Below are 24,222 nucleotides of genomic sequence, written 5' to 3'. Positions count from 1 at the left end.
GGATAAACCCAGCAAGTCTCATTGGATACGGGGATAAACCCAGCAAGTCTCGTTGGATACGGGGATAAACCCAGCAAGTCTCGTTGGATACGGGGATAAACCCAGCAAGTCTCGTTGGATACGGGGATAAACCCAGCAAGTCTCGTTGGATACGGGGATAAACCCAGCAAGTCTCGTTGGATACGGGGATAAACCCAGCAAGTCTCGTTGGATACGGGGATAAACCCAGCAAGTCTCGTTGGATACGGGGATAAACCCAGCAAGTCTCGTTGGATACGGGGATAAACCCAGCAAGTCTCGTTGGATACGGGGATAAACCCAGCAAGTCTCGTTGGATACGGGGATAAACCCAGCAAGTCTCGTTGGATACGGGGATAAACCCAGCAAGTCTCGTTGGATATGGGGATATCTTGGTGTCATATGCTGTTTTCCATGACATCACCAAGCAAGCCTCAAAGGGCTCTTTAATCCAAAGGCAGGGACTGCCACTGGCCTGTGGTCACACTCCCCAGGCACTCATGCCCCTGGGCACCCACACAGCACCAGAACAGAGATTGTTTCTCTCCCACAGCACTGCAGGCTGGCGACACCCCGTACCCCTTACTGTTGGCATGCGCTGGTGGCACGAGCAGGCAGAGAGTTTCAGAAACAGCCTCCCCCAGAGAAGAGAGGGCTTCAGGGCTAGAAGACTTAGCCTGGGGGCCAAATGACCCTGGGTCAGATCCTGGCTCAGATGTGGGACTCTGGGCTGGTCACTCCATCCTGTGAGCTTTGGTGTCCCTACCCATAGACTGAGGGAGCGTGCTGACAGCTGACAGTGCCAGGAGCTGGGAGCACGCCGCTCAGCACATGCCACTGTTCAGGCCAGGACAAGGCCCACCAAGCAATGGCAGGGTGCAGTGGGGCACCCCGTTCTCCTCTGCCCTCCCCATCACCCCAGAATCTTGCTCAGAGTGTCTGCAAATGGTACGTTTGGCCTTAGGGAAGAAACAACTTCTGCCTTCTAAAGAAGAGTGTGCTTCATAAACTGCTCTGTCATTCCAACTGCTTGAGAAAGAGAAGGAATTCCTAGCTTAAAAACATTTTTTTTCCTTCCCTAATAGGATCTCTATAAGCCACTTTCCTTTTAAGCCCCAGTTTACTTTAGAAGAGCGAAAGCCTATGACTTCCGCCTCAGAACATGATGATTTTATTGTTGCCTGAAGACAAGGAATACCCTTGAACCTCCCAACACAGATAAAAGCCAAACCTGCTTATATTTTTATTGTTTGGCCGCCCTGCTTTGTGGAGCAGCCGGCAACGTCAGCGCCGGGCAGGCGTGCTCGAATCGCTGGCACCTTCATGTGCTGTGAGGTCTGGAGCCGGCCGCGGCAGCCCAGCAAAGTTGTGCTTCTGACGGTAATGCTCCCTCTCCTTGCAGCAGGAGGGCTGCCTGGCCCCGTGGTAACCGCAGCTCTGGCCTGCCTGCTGAGACCACCATGGGCATCAGGGCCTGGCTGCACAGAGCTCATTCATCAGGAACTGCTCAGAGCCCCCAGCCCATGCTCAGGGGCTCTTGGCAGCACTGAGTGGGCCATGCCCTGAATGAGCAAAGCCTCTGACCACCTGCTTTCTCCAGACCCAGCCATCCATAAGACTGGCCTAAGTGCGGACAAAGGGTCACCCAGCAACCAATGGCCACCGCTTTGAACGCTGGCTGTCAAGGGCATTAGGTTGTCTGCCAAGAGCGAACAACATGATGTTTTCAGCTCTAACAGGTTACATAGTTCAACTTTGGGGGCCTATCCAGAAGATTGAGAAATCCTCATTTTCGTGGATCACTCAGAAAATACAGCCAATCCCATGAAAAGGGATTTTTTTTTCTGGGAAAATGTAACTGGATCCTGTGCCCAAAGACCTCTCCTGAGGAATGCGTTCTACTTGGTAAAAACAAAATCGTGAGAATAAAAACAGACCAGAGCCTTCTTTCACCAAGCAGATTTGGATAAATATAATTTTCCAAGGCTGATAACTGTTCTACCAAATCCTGTTGGCTGTCGTTTCCTTTCGTGCTGTGGAACTCATATTTCACTGAGATAACATAGCCCTCGTGCTGATTTCCACCACACTCTGGGGTGCAAGGAACCACCCATTTCCTAACAGAAGCAGCTTAATGCCACAGTGCCACCCGGACACTGGCCTTGTCCTCCCGGCTTCAGGCTCCTCTTCCACAGCAACCCCAGGAGGCTGGTCCCTGCACGCCTCTTATTCCCACAATGGATGCTTCCTGTGCGGGACTCACGCACAAGCCTCACTTAGGGGGAGTGGCTGGCAGGCAGGGATGCAGACACAGACTCTCTCTCCCCGCCTCCATGCTGAGTGCACCACCCCAGCAAGAGGCCCAGGGCCACATGGGGTAAGCAGGGTCTTCGGCAGCCTGGGATGCATGCCCGTGACGGTCCACCAAACTCCAGGCTCCCACCCCACCCCTGTGCCCAGGGAGGGAACAGAAGTCAATGGGGCATCCCTTGTGAATGCTACCCCACTGTAGAAAATGAATAGGGCTCAGCCACTCACAGGACCCCATAAGCACTCTTTTTTCTTCTTCTTGAGACAGGGTCTCGTTCTGTCACCCAGACTGGGGTGCAGTGGCATAATCACAGCTCACTGCAGCCTTGACCTCCTGGGCTGAAGTGATCCTGCCACCTCAGCCTCCTGAGAAGCTGGGATTACAGGTGTGCACCACCACACCCAGCTATGTTTTATATTAGTGTAGAGACCAGGTCTCTCGATGTTGCCCAAGCTGGCCATGAGTGCCCCTATTCGTGCTTATTTTAAAGAAGATGTAGTGTGCACTGAGAGTAGACTGCCCGCCAGGCACCCCACAAAGTCACCAACACACAAGCTCCCCTCACTTCACCACATGACAAGGCTGCTGTGAGTCTCATCCTGGTTTTCAGACGAAGACACTGAGGCTCACAGAGGACCTGCAGCTTCAGGGCCAAGGAGCAGGGCACGGAGGGGACCTGGAGTCCGTGGCCATTGACTGTTCTGCACAGCTGGGGGATTCGTGTCCCACTGAGACACCTGTCCCACAAATTAAATGCTCCAGGAAGCACCATTGAGAAGGGTGACATCCAGTATGTTTAAGACAATCGGCTTCTCTGGAGTTAACTTGCCCATTCTTCCATCTGGCCTACTTGATATTAAACTTCAGGCAAATGCCAGTCACACAGAGACCAACAAACAAACAAACAAACAAAGTCCCAGAGGATGTCTGAGTGCTCACAGAATAGGAACAGATGCAACTTTGAAATTTGCCCATAAATAAGTAAAAATGAACTCGTCAGCTATTCGGGATTCTTCCCTGCAAGCTGGGCTGACAAACACAACTCTTCTCATTGTTTTATTTTCAGTTTTCAACGTCTTGTGAACCAGAGCAATACTCAGGGATGTTAAAAAGCTTTTACGCTGTCATATGTTTACTTGCACAAAGCTGCCGAGCAGGAGGTTTGCTTGTAATTTCACTCCTGAAGTAAAAGCATTAGCTGTTACTCTTGACTTCTGAACTGAAACCCGTACACGCCCCCTCCACACTAAGTAGCATGGAAAGAACATGCCTGATCCATGCCCTCCGCAGAAGCTGCGGTGGCTGGGTCTGGCAGGTTCCATGGGGTCACATGTGTGAAACAGCTGGACAAGTGAGCTTCGCAAAGCAAGTGGGTCCTCAAGTCCATATGACACAGGGAGGCAGCTCGTCAGCATTAACCCCAGTCCCAGCACACGCACTCCTCTGGACTTAGGTCTGGCTTTGAACAGAAGGCTCTCACCCTGCACTGCCTCCTGTCCAGCTAATCAAGCCGGGAAGAAAGCGGGGCCAGATCTGGGAGTCTGGGTTGCATCCCCTCTCAGTGTTCAGTGCAAAAGGGCATTGAGAAGGAGATATGAATGCTCACCTTGGCCAACTCACCATCAATCTGAGCACCATCTCCCTCTGATCCCTTGCTCCTCATTAGGATGGGCTGGCACATCCAGAGCGCAATACTTAACACATGGAATCTGGGGCACATTCATAGGAAGGGGGAAGGAAAAGAAGCCAGCACCAGGGCACTCACAGAGAGGGATCAGGTGTCCGGATCTGGGATGCCTCTGAGCCGCCTTTCCTGCCTGCTGAGGCCAGAGGTTGGTGTGGGTGCCCACGGCCATCCCCAGCCCCCTGGCCAGGTGAGCCGGGCAACATCACCAGAACCACGTGGGCTTTCAGGGGCGTCTGCGCCAGGTCTTCTAATGAGGCAGAACATTGACATTTGGGTTCCATGTCTGCAGAGTAATCCTTTCATTTCCTTATCTGGGATGAACAGAGCAAAAAGGAAGTGAGAAATTGGTTCATTCTTGACTATAGATTTGCAGTTGCAGATCATTAAATTGAAAACTGAATACACTATCCATCAATGGTTAATAATGTTTCATTTCCTTTATCTTTCATTATTATAGTCATCATTATGGTGCCATCATTATCTGCCCGGCAAAAAATGCTCCGTGGCAGGCTCGGAGGGGCCGCACAGGCCAGGCCTTTCAGCTGTTTTCTGAGTTTTGCTTCCCCTCTTTCCTTCTTCTCCATACCTGGGTGCTGTGGCTCACAGGCATGCGCCACGGCCTCGGACCCGTCCTGCCCCTGCTCTATGCTACACTCCTATGGCCAGTGTCAAGAGCAGGCAGCTGTGGGTTCGATGCCTGCCCCTGCTCTATGCTACACTCCTATGGCCAGTGTCAAGAGCAGGCAGCTGTGGGTTCGATGCCCAGCTCTGCTGCTTCGTGGCTTCGTAACCTTGACGATGTCACACGGGCTTTCTGGTCTGTTTTCCCACCTGTCAAATGGTGCCAATAACGCCAAACTTTATAATGCCACTAGGAGGGCCAAAGAGGCTGTTAGAGCCTTGGCTGTCGGCCAGGGGCCGTTTTCCTCTAAGTGCTGAAAACAAACAAACAAACAAACAAACAAAAAAAAAAAACAGGAAAGGCTGGGCTGAGCAGAGAGCAAAAATGGGGGCATAAAGTAGAGAAGCAGCAGCAAGGGGCTGTGTCCTTACAGAGCAGGGAGGGACAAACCACAGCTCAAGGCCCAATCTGGCTGCAGCCTGTTGTAAATAAAGTTTTATTGGCACACAGCCCCACCCATTCATGTACATATCTCCTAAGGCTGCTTTTCACCTACGTCACAGAGGTGAGTGGGTCCCGACATCTGGCCCGCCAAGCCTAAAATAATGACTATCTGGCCTTTGACAAAAAGTTTTATTGTTTGGTTCCAGGCCCTAGAAAGCCCCATTCCCTTTCAAAAACATTGCATTGGGGGCTTCAGCCAGTTTGGATGGGTTTTGCCTATTTATCAATATAACTAATGATCCTTGGATAAAACAGATTCCCTGAACCACCCACATCACCAGCACCTCTGTCCGGCGCACATGTTAAGCACATGCTAGGCATATGTTATAAGTATGTGTTGGGCATATGTTAAACACTTAGGGACAAACTCTAAGAAGGCACCAGGACTATACGAAACAAGTCACAAACAGCCCCGGAGACTGATGTGACCTCTGTGATGTGGCTGGACAGACCCAGAAGCTGTGTTTGTAGGTGGAAGAGAGATGTCCGATGCCCCAGTGAATCTCTGTGTTTGCACAAGGCCATTCCCACCACCCTCAGTAGAAAACGCAAACACAAACGTGATGCACAAAAAAAGAAAGGAGGAAAGCTAAGCAGATTTTTTTTTTGAGACGGAGTCTTGCTCTATTGCCCAGGCTGGAGTGCAGTGGTGCAATCTCAGCTCACTGCAAGCTATGCCTCCCGGGTTCAAGCATTCTCCTGCCTCAGCCTCCCAAGTAGCTGGGACTACAGGCACCCACCACTATGCCAGGCCAGTTTTTTTTTTTTTTTTGTATTTTTAGTAGAGATGGGTTTTCACCGTGTTAGCCAGGATGGTCTCGATCTCCTGACCTTGTGATCCACCCGCCTTGTCCTCCAAAGTGCTGGGATTACAGGTGTGAGCCACCGCGCCCGGCCAAAGCTAAGCAGATTTTTAAGTGCTCAGCCTCTCCACTAATTGAGTAAATGTGGGATTGATTGGGGCCACCTCACACCTGTCCACTTGGGAAGCACGTCCAAAGGAATGCCCACATGACAGAACTAGGGCCAGGGTGGCAGTGGGGACATGGTACAGCCAGTGTCCTTGCTGGGAATATAAATTGGCACCACCTTTCTGAAACATCGTTTAGATGTGTGGATCCAGGGCCACGTAACAGAGCTTCTGAACCAGAAATTCAGAATCCTGCTTCTAATGACCCATCACAAAGAAATGATGAGAGATGTGCTGTCTGGTTTACACAGATTTTCATCATGGCATCAGTCCCAGGAGGAGAGCACTGGAAATATCCTCCCATCCACTCACCACACACACACCACAGCACACACGTGCAAATGCACACACATCACACACACCACAGCACACACGTGCAAATGCACCTACATCACACACCACAGCACACGCGTGTAAATGCACCTACATCACACACCACAGCACACGCGTGCAAATGCACCTACATCACACACCACAGCACACGCGTGCAAACGCACACACATCACACACACCACAGCACACGCGTGCAAACGCACACACATCACACACGCCACAGCACACGCGTGCAAACGCACACACATCACACACGCCACAGCACGCGCGTGCAAACGCACACACGCCACAGCACGCGCGTGCAAACGCACGTACATCACACACGCCACAGCACGCGCGTGCAAACGCACGTACATCACACACGCCACAGCACGCGCGTGCAAACGCACGTACATCACACACGCCACAGCACGCGCGTGCAAACGCACGTACATCACACACGCCACAGCACGCGCGTGCAAACGCACGTACATCACACACGCCACAGCACGCGCGTGCAAACGCACGTACATCACACACGCCACAGCACGCGCGTGCAAACGCACGTACATCACACACGCCACAGCACGCGCGTGCAAACGCACGTACATCACACACGCCACAGCACGCGCGTGCAAACGCACGTACATCACACGCCACAGCACGCGCGTGCAAACGCACGTACATCACACGCCACAGCACACGCGTGCAAATGCACGTACATCACACACGCCACAGCACACGCGTGCAAATGCACGTACATCACACACACCACAGCACATGCGTGCAAATGCACATGCATCACACGCACACACGTGCACACCACAGCCATGCACCACTCTCATGCACTCCTTCACACATGCTTATCCGTGTGCATACACAGCACATCACATTTACATGCATGCTTGTGGGCATGCACACACACCAACTCACATGCACATCTGAACATCCCACAGCCACACACGTGTGCACAAGGCACCCACATATGTACATATGAACACATTACATGTGTACACACACACCATGCTCATCCAGTTGTGTGTGCAGGTACAAGTACAGATAGACATACACACACACACACACACACACACATGCACACACACCATGCCAAAGATTAAAAGTGGTTTGTTCAGAGGAGGGAAATGAAGTTACCCTTTTATTCTTTGTACTTTTCTGTTTTCTAAAGTCTTTAACAATAATTTTTTTGGCATTTTGAAAATACAGAATGTTTTATGAAAGTAAGAGGGATAGAGCCAAAGGTGAATTTCTTTTTTCTTTTTTGAGACTGAGTCTGACGCTGTCTCCCAGGCTGGAGTGCAGTGGCGCAATCTTGGCTCACTGAAACCTCCGTCTTCCAGGTTCAAATGATTCTCCTGCCTCAGCCTCCCAAGTAGGTGGGATTACAGATGCACACCATCACGCCTGGATAATTTTTACATTTTTAGTAGAGATGGGGTTTCACCATGTTGGCCAGGCTGGTCTCGAACTCCTGACCTCAAATGATCCACCCACCTCAGCCTCCCAAAGTGCTGGGATTACAGGCGTGAGCCACCATGCCCAGCCGTGAATTTCTTTTTAGGAGAAACCACAATATGCCATGCGTGCTTCCGAGGTGCATTCTTCCTTCTTCCAACGTGACCATGGCTGCTGACTGGCCCAACCCCCAGTGTGCTGCTGTTCTCTGGCCACTCCCTTCACATCGGTTTGGAATTTTCAAGCTAACATTCAAATAGATTCAGAATCATGGCCAGGACTTGCTAACTCTGCAGAGCCAGTGTGTTTTCTTTCGTGTCTAACATGTCTGCAATCATGTCAGATGGCAGACAAGACATGGTCATAACCCCTCATGATGAAAGCACAGGGATGGGGTGCGTCCCCTCCAGGGGAGGAGGTGGCGGGAATGCCCCTCTTTGGTTTGGTGTTTGCTTTGTGGTCAGCCTTGCCCCCCAACACTGAGGATTTATCCTGCCATCCTGGAGGCAGCAGCAAGTGCACGTGACTGCCTGACTTCTCCCTTGGGCCATGTATGGCTGCCGGGAGGCGGGGCTGGGACGGACCTCAGACCACCAGGAGCACTTGGTGTCAGTCTTTCTGGCTGCTGTCACAAAGCTCCTTCCCTTGGGCGGCCCACAAACAACAGACACTGGTTGCTCATGGCTCTGGAGGCTAGCAGTCCAAGGTCAAGGCGCCGGCAGGTTCCGTGTCTGGTGAGGGCCCAATTCCTGGTTCACGGATGGTGCCTTCCTGCTGTGTCTCCACACATGGGGGAAGGAGAAGCAGGCCTCTCTGGGGTCCCTTTTGTAAGGGCATTCATCCCACTCATGAGGGGTGCACCTTCGTGACCTACTCACCTCCCCACAGCCCCACCTGCTAACACCATCAGCTTGGCAGTGAGGATTTCAACACAGGAATCTGGGGAGAACTCCAACATTGAGACCACGGCCCTTGGTGAGAACCCGCTGGAGCCTCCCAGGCCATAAGCCCATGACAGAGCCAAGCACGGTCCTCTCCGTCTGGGCTGTCCCGAATTCCAGTGCCAGCTCTGACCCCAGCCAGGCGTTAGGCCCCATCTGCAGGCCATTTCTACCATTATGTCCCTCCTAGTTTCCTTTAATAACTCATAACTTAAATGGGAAACATTTAGTCACCCTGGAAAATGGAAAGCCAGCAGTGGAGACAAAAAGAGAAAGCAAAGCCACCCTAAAGAGGAACGCAGCAGGCAGCGGGCGGCAGGGTGAGCTGTTCCTGGACCCCGACACCTACTCTCCTTCACTCGGGGGAACAGGGAGGGTAGCGAGGTGAGAGCTGTTAGGGACTCAAGAGCATCGAAACCCCCCACCAGGGAGGCCGCTGTGGCCGGCGCTTCACACGCAGGGATGCTGCATAAGCCACGTTAGCCCAGGGGTGCTGGAACTGTGCTGCCCCCACATCCCCATCACTAGATGTCAGGGCCTCTGCTTTTATTTTAATTGGCTCCATTATTTCCCATAAGTCCGTGTATCTGAAAGGGAACTTTATATCACTACCCCAGCCTTGTGCTTATAAATAAACACAGTATTTTTCACAGCCGTGAAACCCTGGCTTTCTAGTTGGAGCCTGCCTTCCACAGGAAAAAGGAAGATTCGTGAGAGTGGGGACATCGGCCCCCACCGCCATGTTGGAAGAGAACTTACCAGGGCACCGTCTTCCAAGGCAGGGGCTGTGTGTGCCGCGGCCTACACCTGGCGTCCTCACACGCGTCACACGCCCCCGCCTTGGGAGGCGCCAGAGAGGGATTGGCTGCTTGGGTGGCTTCTGGCTCTAACAGCCTATGTTTGAACAAAAGGCAGTTCACATCCTCTCTTTCCACCTTCCTGGGCATCTCAGGTGAAAATATGCCATCATTCCCATGCAACTCCCCGCACCATCACCCTATGTGTACCCTGGCCCTGAATTCTCACCCTCCCATCCTGCTCAGAGAGCCCATCCCACACACAGCCCAGGGTCACCCCACCCAGCCTGGCAGACCCAATCAAGGCTGGCAGACGCAGACTCACAGCCCAGGGTGGGTGAGTTCCCAGTCCCACCTGGGAGGCCCCGCACTTCACAGCCATTCCCGCCTGCCCCACCCACACAGCTGCAGGCAACCCCACCGATGGAGTCAGCTAACACTGGGCCGGGTCTCCACTGCCTTGAGAAGGCCATCTCCTTGCAACCAACAGGCCCTGGTGAAGATGTCCCCTTTCCCTCCGAGTATCCGTATCTTCAAGCAGGGCAGGCTCACAGAAATCCTGGCATCTGTGCAATCACCCCGTTACTCACAACAGCCCCAGCCGGCAGGCAGCACCTGGCCGCCCACAGCTCAGCCTGCAGATGTGCTGTGCTTGGTGCACAGAACGTCACAAAATAAGGAACTTGCACATCGAGGTCCAGACTGCCCCATTTCTCGGAAATTGGAAGGATGGGCCATGTCTACGTTCCCGGGAAACAATGTCCTCTGCGCTTTCGTGGAGACCCCCAGTCCTGGCTTCACTGCTCCCTGCTGTCGAGGCCCATCCCTGGGGACACTGAGGGTGACCTGCTCTAGACAGAGGATGCAGGAGCCTTCCCCCACTCAGGAAGCCAGCGCCCATGGGTGACTGTGGGAAATGGAAGGCCCCGCCCCCACCCCTAGGAGCTGAGCCTCTTGCTGGAGAAAGAGGGTAACACAAACCCCAGGGCCAGTTCCCTAAAGCAGAGGTCCAGAGACGCAGGGGCTGCCAGGCCCCTCTGGGAAAAGGCCGAGGTTTCCTTGCTGCCTGGGAGGAGGCTCGGTAGGTGCTAACCAAAGAAAGGGAAGGAGGGCCAATGAGTTCTAGCCAAGTGGGTGGGAGGGAGTCCAGGAAGCCCCACTGGGGCAGGGTTATGGCCAGGTAGACAGCATGAGTGCCTCGCCGTGTCCCTCTGGAGCCTGGCTCTGCCCACCACGTAGAATGTTCCCAGATGCTCATTTAATAACATGCTTAATAAAAGGCTGTGACGGAGACTTTAATGGGGCAGCTCTCAGGAACGTCAGTCATGCCTACTTGGCTTCTCATCCCTCAAAATAGAGGCCTGTGGGGAGGATCTTAGAATAAGAGAGAAGGGAGCCACAAAGCCCCTCCACTCTCAGCACGCTGGTCCCAGCTCCCCTGGCAGATGCATCCACTTTCAGCTGCTCATAATGAACCCTGCTATGGCAAAGCCTCCAGAAGTCAATCATGAATCTCCCCAGTAAGAATACTTGCCATTGCCACCTATGAAGAGAAGTCCCTCAAATCAACTCCTCCCAGGTAAGTGGCACGGCCAGCCCAGGCAGGCCTGACTGCTGTGAGGCTGCTCTTCCTCTATCCACTGGGCTCCCACAGACTGGGGAGGGGGAGCCAGCAAAGTCTCAGCTCCTTGTTCTCGAGGGGAGAAAAGATCCTGCATGGACCACTCCCCTTCTCTCCCAAAGTCCCTGCCAAATGGCCTCTATTTCCCTTGCATTTTGAACATTCTCAGAACAATTATTGTAGACACTTCAGGGAGACTCTAAAGGGAAGCTGAGCCACTTCCCAAGGGCTGAGCACCAGGCGTAAGAGGGCCTCTGCCTCTCAGAGCAGAAGGGGCAGCTGCACCATGCAGCCAGATGGGCCACAGCCTGAGGTCGCCACGGACCGTGATAAAGGTGCATGTCCTCAGTCTGCAAACACATCATTTTAACATCTAGAGTCAGAACTTCCATGCCTGGCCACAACACCAGCACATCCATTCCTTATCTGAGGAGGCCTCAGGCTCATCAAAGCAGTGAAAGGAGATGAATCAATAAAAGGTTATCAGCCAAGCAGTTTGATTCCTGCACATTTAAGCACACAGGCACTTGCAGATCTTAGTTCCTGCAGGTCAATATAATTTTTACAGAGGTGCCCAATTCTCAGCAGTGAAATGATACAGGCAATGGAGTTACTCAGGGAAGGATGGCTGGCAGGAGAAGCAATGAGTCCATACTTTAAAAAATGAAGCAGGAGTCACAGGTGGGGCTCCTTGGCCCCCTGACCCCAAGACAGACAATTGCCTGGCTCACAGATGCCCGGAGCAGGCAAACTGCCACTGAGTGAAAGTTTATCAAATGGCAACAGACGTGCTTTTCACCTGGGCCATAACGCAGGCTCTGAATCTGAGATCAACGCCAGGGGCTGAGATGTGAGGGCCCATTAGGCCCGATCGGCACCCACCCTGCAGTTCCAAGTCGGAACCAGAGCTGGAAAAGCCGGCCCTCCCCTGCTCCATCAGAACGCTCATGAGCTACACCGCACAGAAAGCACAGGAAAGCGGAGGCCGTCCAGTGCTGAAACTCCCGACACAGTAATTGTCATTGTTATCCAATTATGCTCTGGATACCTGATGCCAACATGGCCCACAGAGGGGCAATTTCATTAGACTAAGACTCACTTGTCTTACTTTACTTTGATAACGGCTTAATAAATAAACCGAGCAAGCCCGAATACACAGGTGCAAAATAAAACATACTTTGGCTTTTTCATTTTATGCCCATCTTTTTCCAATTATAATCCTTTCATATTTCCTTGCTTGTCAGTTCCAGCCTTCCACCACTGCCACCCCCTCCACGAGGTGGGAGAAGGCTCCTCTCCTTTTCATTATGAAGATTCCCTCCTGGGAAGAAGGCTTCATGTGAGTGCACTGAGGTAGTTTTCTCTCTCCCCATTTCCATCATACACACCCCTCACACTTCTCTCGCTGCTATCTAACACATGCATACACACGCACACACAAAGTCACAACAAGGCCACAATTTAGGAAGACGCAGAAGAGAGTACAAAAACATTATATCATTATACACTTTAATAAAACTGAGACAAAAGAGGTGGAAATAATTCATCTTACTTAGCTCAGGTAGAGGGGAAGGGAGAGGACGCAAAAGAGGGCTCAGTGGAGGAGTAACTCTTAAATTCAGAAGCCCTGGAAGATTCCCACAGGGGAAATGGCAAGCCAGTCAGAGGTGGCAGCCAAAACAAAGGAACACATGAGGGAAGGGCTAGCAAGTTCTAGCAAGCTCAGCAGGCAGACCAGTGCTGGTGCCTAGAAGGGGGTGGGCGTGTGACAGGGAAAAAGGGACAGAGGCCTGGGGACCACTGCATGGAGGGCCTGGAATGGTGCACTTGGACTTTAATCTGCATAGAGCAGAGCCTTCAAAGCTTTTAGAGAACCTGAGAGTCTCTAGGATCCCCTGCTGAATGGGACAAAGATGACTACAACTACTTTGATATCCAGGAACCCACAGGTGTCTAGGAAGTAAAACCCCAATAACAGCAATGAACAATGTGATCCATTCATGAAAAGTGCAGCATCTTGCTGGCTCCTGTGCCTCCCTCTGCCCAACAGCCCCTGACCCCGTGGAGTTCTTAGAGCCACAGTGATGGAATCTCCACTGCCCAGGACCACCATTCTTGGCCTCCATGGATGTCCATCCCATCAAAACAGCTGACTTGGCCACAAGAGAAGCAGCAAAGCCAGTGAGAGAGTCACAGAACATCATCCCAAGAATGGCATAGGGATGCCAGGCACGGCCCTGTCATTCTCCTGGTGGGGACAGAAAGACAGCAGCGACATAGCATGGGATTTAGCCACTGCTCAAGTGCGGCCTCCTAATCCTCTCTTCTCACAACCCCAGGTAAACACCAAGATTAGCACCTTGATCAAAAAACACCCACCATAGAGCAAGCTACTTACATTGAGTCTAACCAAGTGCATCTAATCTCAAAGCTGGAGATCACTGAAAAGCAAAGGCATAAGCCCAACATTGCTATAAAACCCCTGGAAATATGTTGAGTTTGAAAGTGCAAATGTGCACTTCCGGTCTTAAGTTCTAGCTTAAGAGTTCAAACAGAAATGAGACTTCAATTTATACTCAGGAAAATAAAAATAGATTAATAAAATCCAAGTCAAGCTGCTAGAAGAGGTTTTTCTGTGCCAAAAGACAGGCACTGTGAGTTTTTCTAAACAGGTTATCACTTAAACATTGTAAAGCACTAGACTTATTTTTTAAATAGCAAAACTACAATTATCTCTGCACGTCCCGTATCACCGCTCTGCAGTGCTCCTGCATAACGAACCCGCTGTCAGTGATACTGATGGGATGAGAGTGTCGCTGATGTGCCAGGCGGCCAGCCTTATCAAAATCCAGCCACACTAATCCTTTTCCTTACATCAAAAATCAAATCACTTCCTAGAGAGAAGCTACAGTCTCACCAAGAGCAGTTCCACTGGGAGAAGGCAAGTTGAGATTAACAGTGCAATATGTTAGCAAATCAGTAGATAAGTGTTTGCTTCCACCCCCAGTGATACTCAGAATCCAGGATCCTTCAGAAAAGCACAGTCAGGTGTCCCGAACTGCACACAGTACTCCAAACTGCACATGATACGCCCCCAAACTGCGCACGGTACTCCCCCAAACTGCACACGGTACTCCCCCCAAACTGCGCATGGTACTCTCCCAAACTGCGCATGGTACTCCCCCAAACTGCGCATGGTACTCTCCCAAACTGCGCATGGTACTCCCCCAAACTGCGCAGGGTACTCCCCCAAACTGCGCAGGGTACTCCCCCAAACTGTGCATGGTACTCCCCCAAACTGCACACAGTACTCCAAACTGCACATGATACTCCCCCAAACTGTGCACGGTACTCCCCCAAACTGCACACGGTACTCCCCCAATACTCCCCCAAACTGTGCATGGTACTCCCCAAACTGCACACAGTACTCCCCCAAACTGCTTCACGGTACTCCCCCCAAACTGCGCACGGTACTCTCCCAAACTGCGCACGGTGCTCCCCCAAACTGCGCACGGTGCTCCCCCCAACTGCGCATGGTGCTCCCCCAAACTGCACACGGTATTCCCCCAAACTGCACACGGTACTCCCCCAAATTGCATACAGTACTCCCCCAAACTGCACATGGTACTTCCCCAAACTATGCATGGTACTCCAATACTCCCCCAAACTGCACACAGTACTCCCCAAAACTGCACACAGTACTCCCCCAGTACTCCCCCAAACTACACATGGTACTCCCCCAAACTGCACACGGTACTCCCCCAAACTGTGCATGGTGCTCTCCCTAACTGCGCATGGTGCTTCCCCAAACTGCACATAGTACTCCCCCAAACTGCATATGGTACTACCCCAAACTGCACATGGTACTCCTCCAAACTGTGCACAGTACTCCCCCAAACTGCACACAGTACTGCCCCAAACTGCACACAGTACTCTCCCAAACAACCGCATGCAGTAATCCCCCAAACTGCCCATGGTACTTCCCCAAACTGCACATGGTACTCCCCCAAACTGCACACAGTACTCCCCCAAACTGCACACAGTACTGCCCCAAACTGCACACAGTACTCCCCCAAACAACAGCACACAGTACTCCCCCAAACTGCCCATGGTACTTCCCCAAACTGCACTCGGTATTCCCCCAAACCGCACACGGTACTCCTGCAAACTGCACACCGTACTCCTCCAAACTGCACACGGTACTCCCCCAAGCTGCACACAGTACTCCCCCAAGCTGTGCACGGTACTCCCCCAAGTTGCACATGGTATTCCCCCAAACTGCACATGGTACTTCCCCAATACTCCCCCAAACTGCACACGGTACTCCCCTAAACTGCACATGGTCTTCCCCCAAACTGCACAAAGTACTCCCCCAAACTGCACATGGTACTCCCCCAAACTGCACACAGTACTCCCCCCAAACTGCACACGGTACTCCCCCAAACAACTGCATGCAGTAATCCCCCAAACTGCCCATGGTACTCCCCCAAACTGCACATAGTACTCCCCCAAACTGCATATGGTACTCCCCCAAACTGCACATGGTACTCCCCCAAACTGTACATGGTACTCTCCCAAACTGTGCATGGTGCTCCCCCAAACTGCACATGGTACTCCCCAAATTGCACACAGTACTCCCCCAAACTGCACATGGTACTTCCCCAAACTACGCATGGTACTCCAATACTCCCCCAAACTGCACACAGTACTCCCCAAAACTGCACACAGTACTCCCCCAGTACTTCCCCAAACTACACATGGTACTCCCCCAAACTGCACACGGTACTCCCCCAAACTGTGCATGGTGCTCTCCCAAACTGTGCATGGTACCCCCCAAAACTGCACATGGTACTCCCCCAAACTGCACACAATACTCCTCCAAACTGTACATGGTACTCCCCTAAAGGGTGCTTGGTACTCCCCCAAACTGCACACAATACTCCTCCAAACTGCACATGGTACTCCCCCAAACTGCACATAGTACTCCCCCAAACTGCATATGGTACTACCACAAACTGCACATGGTACTCCTCCAAACTGTGCACAGTACTCCCCCAAACTGCCCATGGTACTTCCCCAAAATGCCCATGGTACTTACCCAAACTGCACATGGTACTCCCCCAAACTGCACACAGTACTGCCCCAAACTGCACACAGTACTCCCCCAAAAAACTGCACGCAGTAATCCCCCAAACTGCCCATGGTACTTCCCCAAACTGCACTCGGTATTCCCCCAAACTGCACACGGTACTCCTCCAAACTGCACACGGTACTCCCCTAAACTGCACATGGTCCTCCCCCAAACTGCACGTGGTACTCCCCCAATACTCCCCCAAACTGCACATGGTCCTCCCCCAAACTGCACATGGTCCTCCCCCAAACTGCACATGGTACTCCCCCAATACTCCCCCAAACTGCACACGGTACTCCCCTAAACTGCACACGGTACTCCCCCAAACTGCACAAGGTACTCTCCCAAACTGCACATGGTATTCCCCCAAACTGCACATGGTACTTCCCCAATACTCCCCCAAACTGCACACGGTACTCCCCTAAACTGCACACTGTACTCCCCCAAACTGCACAAGGTACTCTCCCAAACTGCGCATGGTGCTCCCCCAAACTGCACATGGTACTCCCCCAATACTCCCCCAAACTGCACACGGTACTCCCCAAAACTGCACATGGTCCTCCCCCAAACTGCACGTGGTACTCCCCCAATACTCCCCCAAACTGCACATGGTCCTCCCCCAAACTGCACGTGGTCCTCCCCCAAACTGCACATGGTACTCCCCCAATACTCCCCCAAACTGCACACGGTACTCCCCAAAACTGCACATGGTACTCCCCCAATACTCCCCCAAACTGCACACGGTACTCCCCCAAACTGCACACGGTACTCCCCCAAACTGCACACGGTACTCTCCCAAACTGCGCATGGTACTCTCCCAAACTGCGTATGGTGCTCCCCCAAACTGCACATAGTACTCCCCCAAAATGTGCATGGTACTCCCCAAAACTGCACACAGTACTCCCCCAAACTACGCATGGTACTCCCCCAAACTGCACAGAGTACTCCCCCAAACAACTGCACACAGTAATCCTCCAAACTGCCCAGGGTACTTCCCCAAACTGTGCATAGTACTCCCTCAAACTGCCCATGGTATCCCCTAAACTGGGCATTTATCACCTCTGAGGGTGACCAGGAACTTCTGCAACAAACAATGCATTCATTGATGGTGCCATTTTCCAGCAACAAAAGTTTTGACCCATATGGCATTTAAGCAAGAAGGAAATAATATTATTTCAAAACTGATAAGGGAGAAATGCAATAAGACAATTCCTAGATAACTGCACGGAAGGGATGTCTTCCTGACAAAACAAGCACCTTTCAAAATGAGGAAATAATGTAATTTTCTGCCTGGCAGAGAGGAGCAGATAGACAGGGGGCGACTGCAGCCTCCCTATCTCAGAAGTAGCCCCTCCATTCCACTGGGGCTGGAGGAAGTGATTAATTAGTGCCTCCTTGAAGCCACAACCTTAGAAAGCCACTGGGGGACTTTTTATGTGCAAGTCGGAGATTGATATCCTTCCAGAATCCTCCTTTTAGAATCCAACAATGGGGCATGTCTCTGACAATCCTGAGTGCCAGCAGGCTGCAGCCTCGGGGCTGCCAAGAGGAGGAGGAGGAGGCCTGGCATGAAAAAACTCTTCTTGGGGCTTCTTTTGTAAAAGGAGGAAAAGCCATTAATGACACAATTTTAAGTGAAAGAAGGAAGCCACCAAGTACAAGAGCAGCGCCTTGCCTCCCGGTCCCCCGCTCTCTCTGGCCGTCCTCCATGCACACGGCTCCCTGCCCACCCTGCCCCCAATCAGCGAGCTGCCTTGTTTAAACATAGCACGTGCAAACCCATGTGGGTCAGCCCGGAGTCCCAGCCTATCCCCGAAAACAGAATCTTGGCACGTTGAGGGGAGAGCTCAGCGACACCTCGTTTTCATCTTTCCATTGCAAAAAGGCAAAACCAGGACCATGGCGTTGTGACAGAACCATCTCGTGAGGGGCACCTTCTCTCACTTGCCCAGGGTAAGGCACAACCTCCAGGTTGGTGGGGTGGAAAAATCAAATTCTGATGTTCAGTTCACGTGGCTTCACGCACCGCTGTAAGAAGAGGCCGGGGGAGAGCGTGGGAGATGTTTGGGATGTGAGCACAGACCTGAGAACCCCCAGGCCGGGGCCTCACGTTGTAGGATGCAAAGCCACGGCCTGTGGCTCCGTGCCAGCCCACAGGGCAATTTAATCCTCTGCTCACAAAGAAATGACAAAGACAGCCCGCTGTCCTCTCTGCTGTGCTGACTCAGCAGGGCTGGATGCTGAGGGCTGTCTTCTATCACTTAGGAAGAAGGAGCGCCATTGTCAATGGGCTGGATTTAATACAGCAGAGGATGCCAGCCCCAAAGGGCACTGGGAAATTAACTCACGATCAGCAATTATTTCGGAAGCCAGGCTCTCCACATTTGCTCTCGTCGCAGAACCTTTGCGCTGTCCCCTCAAACTTGCATCCCAAGTAAAGCAGATGAGATGGGGCCATGGGGGTAGAGATGCCGATAGGAAGAAGTCCTTATTCTCCCAGCCCCCCAGTCCATCCCTTTAAAACCCTGGAGAGTTCCAAAATCTTGACGTGCTGAAATTCCAACCCAAAAAGTGAAGACAGACCCATTCTAATGTCAGGGATTCTACCAAAAGCCTGTCACTGCCATCATATTTAGAAATGAGATTTTTAGAGAATATTGTGCTTATAGTATTTAACATTGCCCCGTAGGGTCCAAGTGTGTCAGGGCGGCTAGATCGACCGCAATAAAGATGTGCCTCAGAAAGTTTCCCAGACTATGAATCCAGAGGATGGTAAACGTTTAACCCAAAAACACCCCAGAGGAAGACAGGAAGACATCCTCACCACTCCAGAGCTGCCTCGACCTCCCCGCAAAGGTGCCATCACTCAACCATGACAAAAAAACACTTGAAGCTCACACTACCCCCACCCCACTACCATTTACGAAGGATACGAGACTTCAAAATGGATTTCAAAGGCCCCTGTAATTTTGGCAGCATGACATTTTATGTCTTATAAGCTATTTTTATTAGCCAGGATTGAAGAAAATTGACGTTTACCAGCCATTAACCTTTCAAGCACATAACTCTATTTTTTTTGCTCCACATGGAAGAGTATCTTACACGTCTGTGCGGGTCAGTCCTTAAGTGTCCAGCACCTTTAAGGAAAAAGTCATTGTGAATCCTCTCTCTTCTCAAGAAAACATAAGTTCTATAATTTTACGGACTCTTGATCACAATTTTATAGCCTTCGGCCCAGCACTGGTATTCCATTTTTATCTTAAAATATAAGAACTAGATAAAACAAGTTATATAATCCCTTCTTTGTATCTGAGGGAAGATGGAAAAGAATAAGATAACCTGAGAAGAAGCTGCAGGCTGCAGAAGGCCTATCCTCAGAACAACTTACTTCTAAACCCCATCAGTTCATCGCTGCCCAAGCATTAAATAGGATACGGCGTAATCCAATCATACCAACACCTGATTAATAAATAACGATAGCCGGTAACTTACGTTCACTGCCGCCTCTCTCCCCCATCAGCCTAACAGAGCTTTAAATAAGCCATTCTCCATAATTTATTTATTCAATTTTTAAAGCCTGCCTTTTGCCAAAAGATCTTGGGCCACACATAAGAAATGTAAAGACCATTAGGGGAGAAAGTATCTAAACAAAACCATAAAACCCATCAAATCAAGCCACCTTCTGATGGAAAAATGACTGCCGCAAAGGTCGGCCGGCCCTCTCCACATCTGGGGGCCAGATTCTGGAGGAGATTGGTCAGGGGAGCTTAAGGTCATCGTCAACAGCCGGGGCCATGTGGAAATGAGTACCACTGGCTCTGGAGGTCCGGTCATGCGTCGGGAACATGGAGTTGCTATCTGACAGTCTCCCCGCCGGGAGCCTCTGGAGCCTGGGGTTGGGAGAGCAACTCACCTTTCCCAAATATCAGCAGCCAGGCAGGTCACTTCACAGGGACCAGAAGAGGAGGAGGAGAGCAGGAGGGCAGCTCTGGCAGGACTGGGGTCTGCTTGGCGGAGCAGGGCCTGATGTGTTTACATTAATAAATAAGTATAATTAATTAAATAAATAATTATAACTAATAAATAATTAATAAATAAGAGCAAGCCAGCAAGCCTTGGTGTTTCCAGAGCCTGGTGCCTCCATACACAGGGACACGGATCACCCTGCTGGGTCTTCCAGGCCCTCATGAGATGGACCTGGCATCTCCCTCCTATGGAGGTAGGAAAGGTCACACAGGCCACAAAATGGTCCAGTGTCACAGAGCTGATGGCTAAGGATTAGAAATGTGGACTCTCCAGGCAACGGGGTATACCAGGTCTCCATGGGGGGCTGGTTCCAAGGTGATACAGAGGATGGGGTGGAGGGTTGGGCTCTGAAGGCTGCCCCCCATCAATCCTGGCTCCTCCAGGGCCACTAAGGTAGTGGCAGTGCCAAACTGTCCTATGTCAGCACCCCAACTCTGTGAAAGGAGGGTTAGTAACATGCCTCCTGCCTAGGGTGGTCATGCAGATGAACCCAGCTGGTACGGTGCAGCACCCGGCATGGGGAGGGCTCCATCAGTGGACCAGAACAACAGACAGTGGTGCTGTTAACCCCTCAAGTGGGGCCGAGCCCCAGGACCACCACAGGGCTTTCCATGGGGTTCTGATGCTCACCCAAGGTGTCTGCGCAACACTCCTCATCACATTTGCAGGATGCAGGAGTCAAACACCAGCGGCTGTCCCCACCCACAAATCGTCCAGAGCCTTGGTAATATCCCATTGTCTTAATCCATTGGTGTTGCTATAAAGGAACACCTGAGGCTGAGTAAGTGACACAGAAAAGAGGTTTATTTGGCGCATGGTTCTGCAGGCTGTACAGGAAGTATGGCACTGGCATCTGCTTCTGGGGAGGCCTCAGGAAGCTTCCACTCATGGCAGAAGGCAAAGGGCAGCCCATGTGTTGAGATCACATGGCAAGAATGGAAGCAAGAGCAATGAGAGGGAGGTGCCAGGCTCTTTCTATAAGGATGAGCTCTCCCAGGAACTAACAGAGTGGGAACTCACTCATTACCACAAGGGCAGCACCAAACCACTCATGAACACTCACCAGGCCCACCTCCAACAGCTGGGATCACATTTCAACAAGAGATTTGGAAGGGACAAATACTCAAACCATAGCACCCCCTGAAGAAAACAAGAAGACAGGAGAAAAGGTATCTTCCTCTTTCAAGTTCTCGCTGATGCAAGCCAACCCGGCATCAGGAAAAAGCAATTCAGCCCACTGACCTGTTGGCCTGGGCCTCCCCGTGTGCAGGTCCCACTCGGCTCCCACTGCCTGGCTTTGCCTCCTGGTTCTGGCTGAGATGCTCCGAGACATGAGCAGGACAAGGTCAAGCGCAGCCAGAGGTGCCTTCTCCTCTCCTCGGCCTGGAGCCCCTCCTCGGGATCCATGCTGGAGAGGTGGGTGGACCCGAGATGCTCTGGCATCCAGCTACATGCCACCCCCTGGGCCAGCCAGGCCCGCTCCCATTCCAGGCACTGGCTCTCCAGCTGCCCAACACAGAAAGAGAGATGGGAGGGCAGGCTGTGTGTCCCACAGCCACACATGTCGGAAGAAGACCCTTAGGGGTACAAAGAGCATTCCCCTGTCAAGTACAGGCCCAGACCCACGTCTGCAATCAGCCCGCTGCAACACAGGCTGCAAGAGGGACACGGATCTGCCCTGAAGCCAGACTCAGCAGCCGCTTTCCTGAGCTGTGTGCGAACCCTCAGCCAGGCTGCAGACACACAGCTGCTGGAAACACAGGACAGGAGACTCCTGCAGCCAGAAATAAAATATTTTTGCATTTCCACAGTAAAGCGGTTTTGGGCAGAGAAGAGGCATGTTCTAAAAACGCCAGAGAGTGCCCAGCTCCTCTCTGCATCCCTCCACATCTCATCAGCAGAGGGAGTGTGCCTCTCCTCTCTGTCTCTGTTGAACGATCCATTCCCCAACGCAGACCTTTAGATTAACAAAATATTTACAGTATATCTATGTGATATTATCTGAGCTATAATCCTTGTTAAGATTCCATTTGATAGAGGAAGATAATGGGTGGAGAACAAATGTTCCATATACATTTTAATTCCAATGAAATTGTTCCATGTCATGCTTTACAATATAAAATACCCCATTACTACACTAAAGTGCCTCATTTGCCTTTCTGGTGGGATGGAAACACCCAGCACTGTTTCAAGCCGCCCACCTGAGCTGCACTTTGAGATGCTGGTTACATTCGGCAGACACCTTCCCAGGTAACACGGTTTCTCTCAAGGGATGCAGCCCCTGGGGAATCGGAGGCTAAACATCCTCTAAGCCTGAAGCCCTGATGCTTTCGCAAAGATCGGATTCCCTGGGAGATGGAGAGAAACAGCAGAGTCCCAGGTCACAGTCCCAGGATTCCCAGTTCAGTGGGTGGATTCGTTCCCTGTGACTGCTGTAATAAATGACCATAAACTTGGTGGCTTCAGATAACAGAAAGGTATTCTTCTGCAGTTCTGGAAGCCAGAAGTCTGAAATCCCAGTGTCAACAGGGCTGCTCTCTCTCTCTGCAGATTCTAGGGGAGTGTCCTTCCTTGACCTTCCCACCTTCCAGGAACTCTAGGCATTCCTGGACTTGTGGTTGCATTGCTCCAATCTCTGCCTGTGACTTCACGGGGCCTCCCCCTCCAAGTCTGTGTCTTCTCTGTCTCTTGTCAAGACAGTTGTCCTTGGATTTACGGCCCACCCAGGTAATCCAGGATGATCTCATCTAGAGATTCTGAAACTGATTACATCTGCAAAGACCCTTTCTCCAAATAATGTTACATTTGGAGGCTCTGCGTGGATGGATCCTTTGTGGGCCACTGTCGGCACCCTCCAGTAGGTCTGGGATAGGACCCACGGGGCTGGCGAGTTTAGCAAGCACCCCCCAGGCAGGGAGTTCCTGGACCACAGTTGGACATCTTACCCCTCTGCTTTGCACAGGGAAACTGAGGTCCAGAGAAGGAAGGGCCCTCACCCAATTCATCCCTCTCCAGACTCCCCACCAGCATCTCTCTGCACCCTATCGGGGGCTGCAGCCTGCGTTTCTCCTTGGACCTTCCTGGAAGCGGAAGTCGGGGACTTCATACCTAGCAAACTCATGCACCAACCTTCCTTCTTGCTTTTCTAGGCACATCAATATAGATGGCATCTCAACTCACATTTGGGTGGCCAGAACAAACGCAAAGCAAAAAATGTCAACATTTCTCCAATACAGACACAGAAACCCAAGGGCACACTCCTGAAAAGAGGCCTGGAAAGCAAGCCTTTCTCCTCTGCCTTCTCCAGAGACAAAGAGAGCTAGGTCCTCCCCTGGGGAGAGACAGAGTGTCCAATACCCACACTCTGGGGCTGGAAATTCATTAAATCATACTCCATATGGAAAATGCACCCATTCCAGGAGAAAGCACACCTCTCAACACCTGCGGCTGTACCAGGGCCATCTTTCCTGGGCTGGGAAGCACCCAAACTCTCAAGGATCAGCTTCCTGTTAGCAAGGTGCGGGCGGCACTCTGGGGCCCTGTGGATATTTATCTGTCATGGAAGGCTTACCTTAATCCTCCCTAAATCCCCACATACTCTCAGCAGGAAAGCACAGTGAATCCAAACGAGGAAGAGTTAGAAGGGCCCAGATCGGAAGCTGCTATGGGCTTCCCAGGCAGTTCACCCTGTGGAGTTCCAAAGCAGCAAATCCCCACCTCAGGACCCACAAGGGACACTGCCCCTCTGAGTCCTAATTATAGCCACTGGATAAGGCAGGTGGCAGGAGCTCCTGGAGCCAGGCAGGACG

At 51.7% G+C, this 24,222-nt stretch overlaps 1 protein-coding gene across 3 annotated transcripts in view, besides 2 other annotated features; it reads right to left on the bottom strand.

Annotated features, from left to right (window-relative positions):
- Nucleotides 1-24,222, bottom strand: part of CDH4 (cadherin 4) — a 688,357-nt gene that overhangs the window by 650,554 nt on the left and 13,581 nt on the right. The gene's annotated exons all lie outside the window — the stretch shown is intronic.
- Nucleotides 21,345-21,875: an enhancer, noted in NCBI's record as "H3K4me1 hESC enhancer chr20:59843245-59843775 (GRCh37/hg19 assembly coordinates)". NCBI's record gives its function as "activates a minimal SCP1, AML or CMV promoter by ChIP-STARR-seq in primed H9 embryonic stem cells {active_cell/tissue: H9 hESC(primed)}" and the evidence as "EXISTENCE:reporter gene assay evidence [ECO:0000049][PMID:30033119]".
- Nucleotides 21,876-22,406: an enhancer, noted in NCBI's record as "H3K4me1 hESC enhancer chr20:59842714-59843244 (GRCh37/hg19 assembly coordinates)". NCBI's record gives its function as "activates a minimal SCP1, AML or CMV promoter by ChIP-STARR-seq in naive H9 embryonic stem cells {active_cell/tissue: H9 hESC(naive)}" and the evidence as "EXISTENCE:reporter gene assay evidence [ECO:0000049][PMID:30033119]".

Source organism: Homo sapiens, chromosome 20 (genome assembly GCF_000001405.40).
Source record: "Homo sapiens chromosome 20, GRCh38.p14 Primary Assembly".
Taxonomy (NCBI): domain Eukaryota; kingdom Metazoa; phylum Chordata; class Mammalia; order Primates; family Hominidae; genus Homo; species Homo sapiens.
This window is presented reverse-complemented; position numbering and strand designations above follow the sequence as displayed.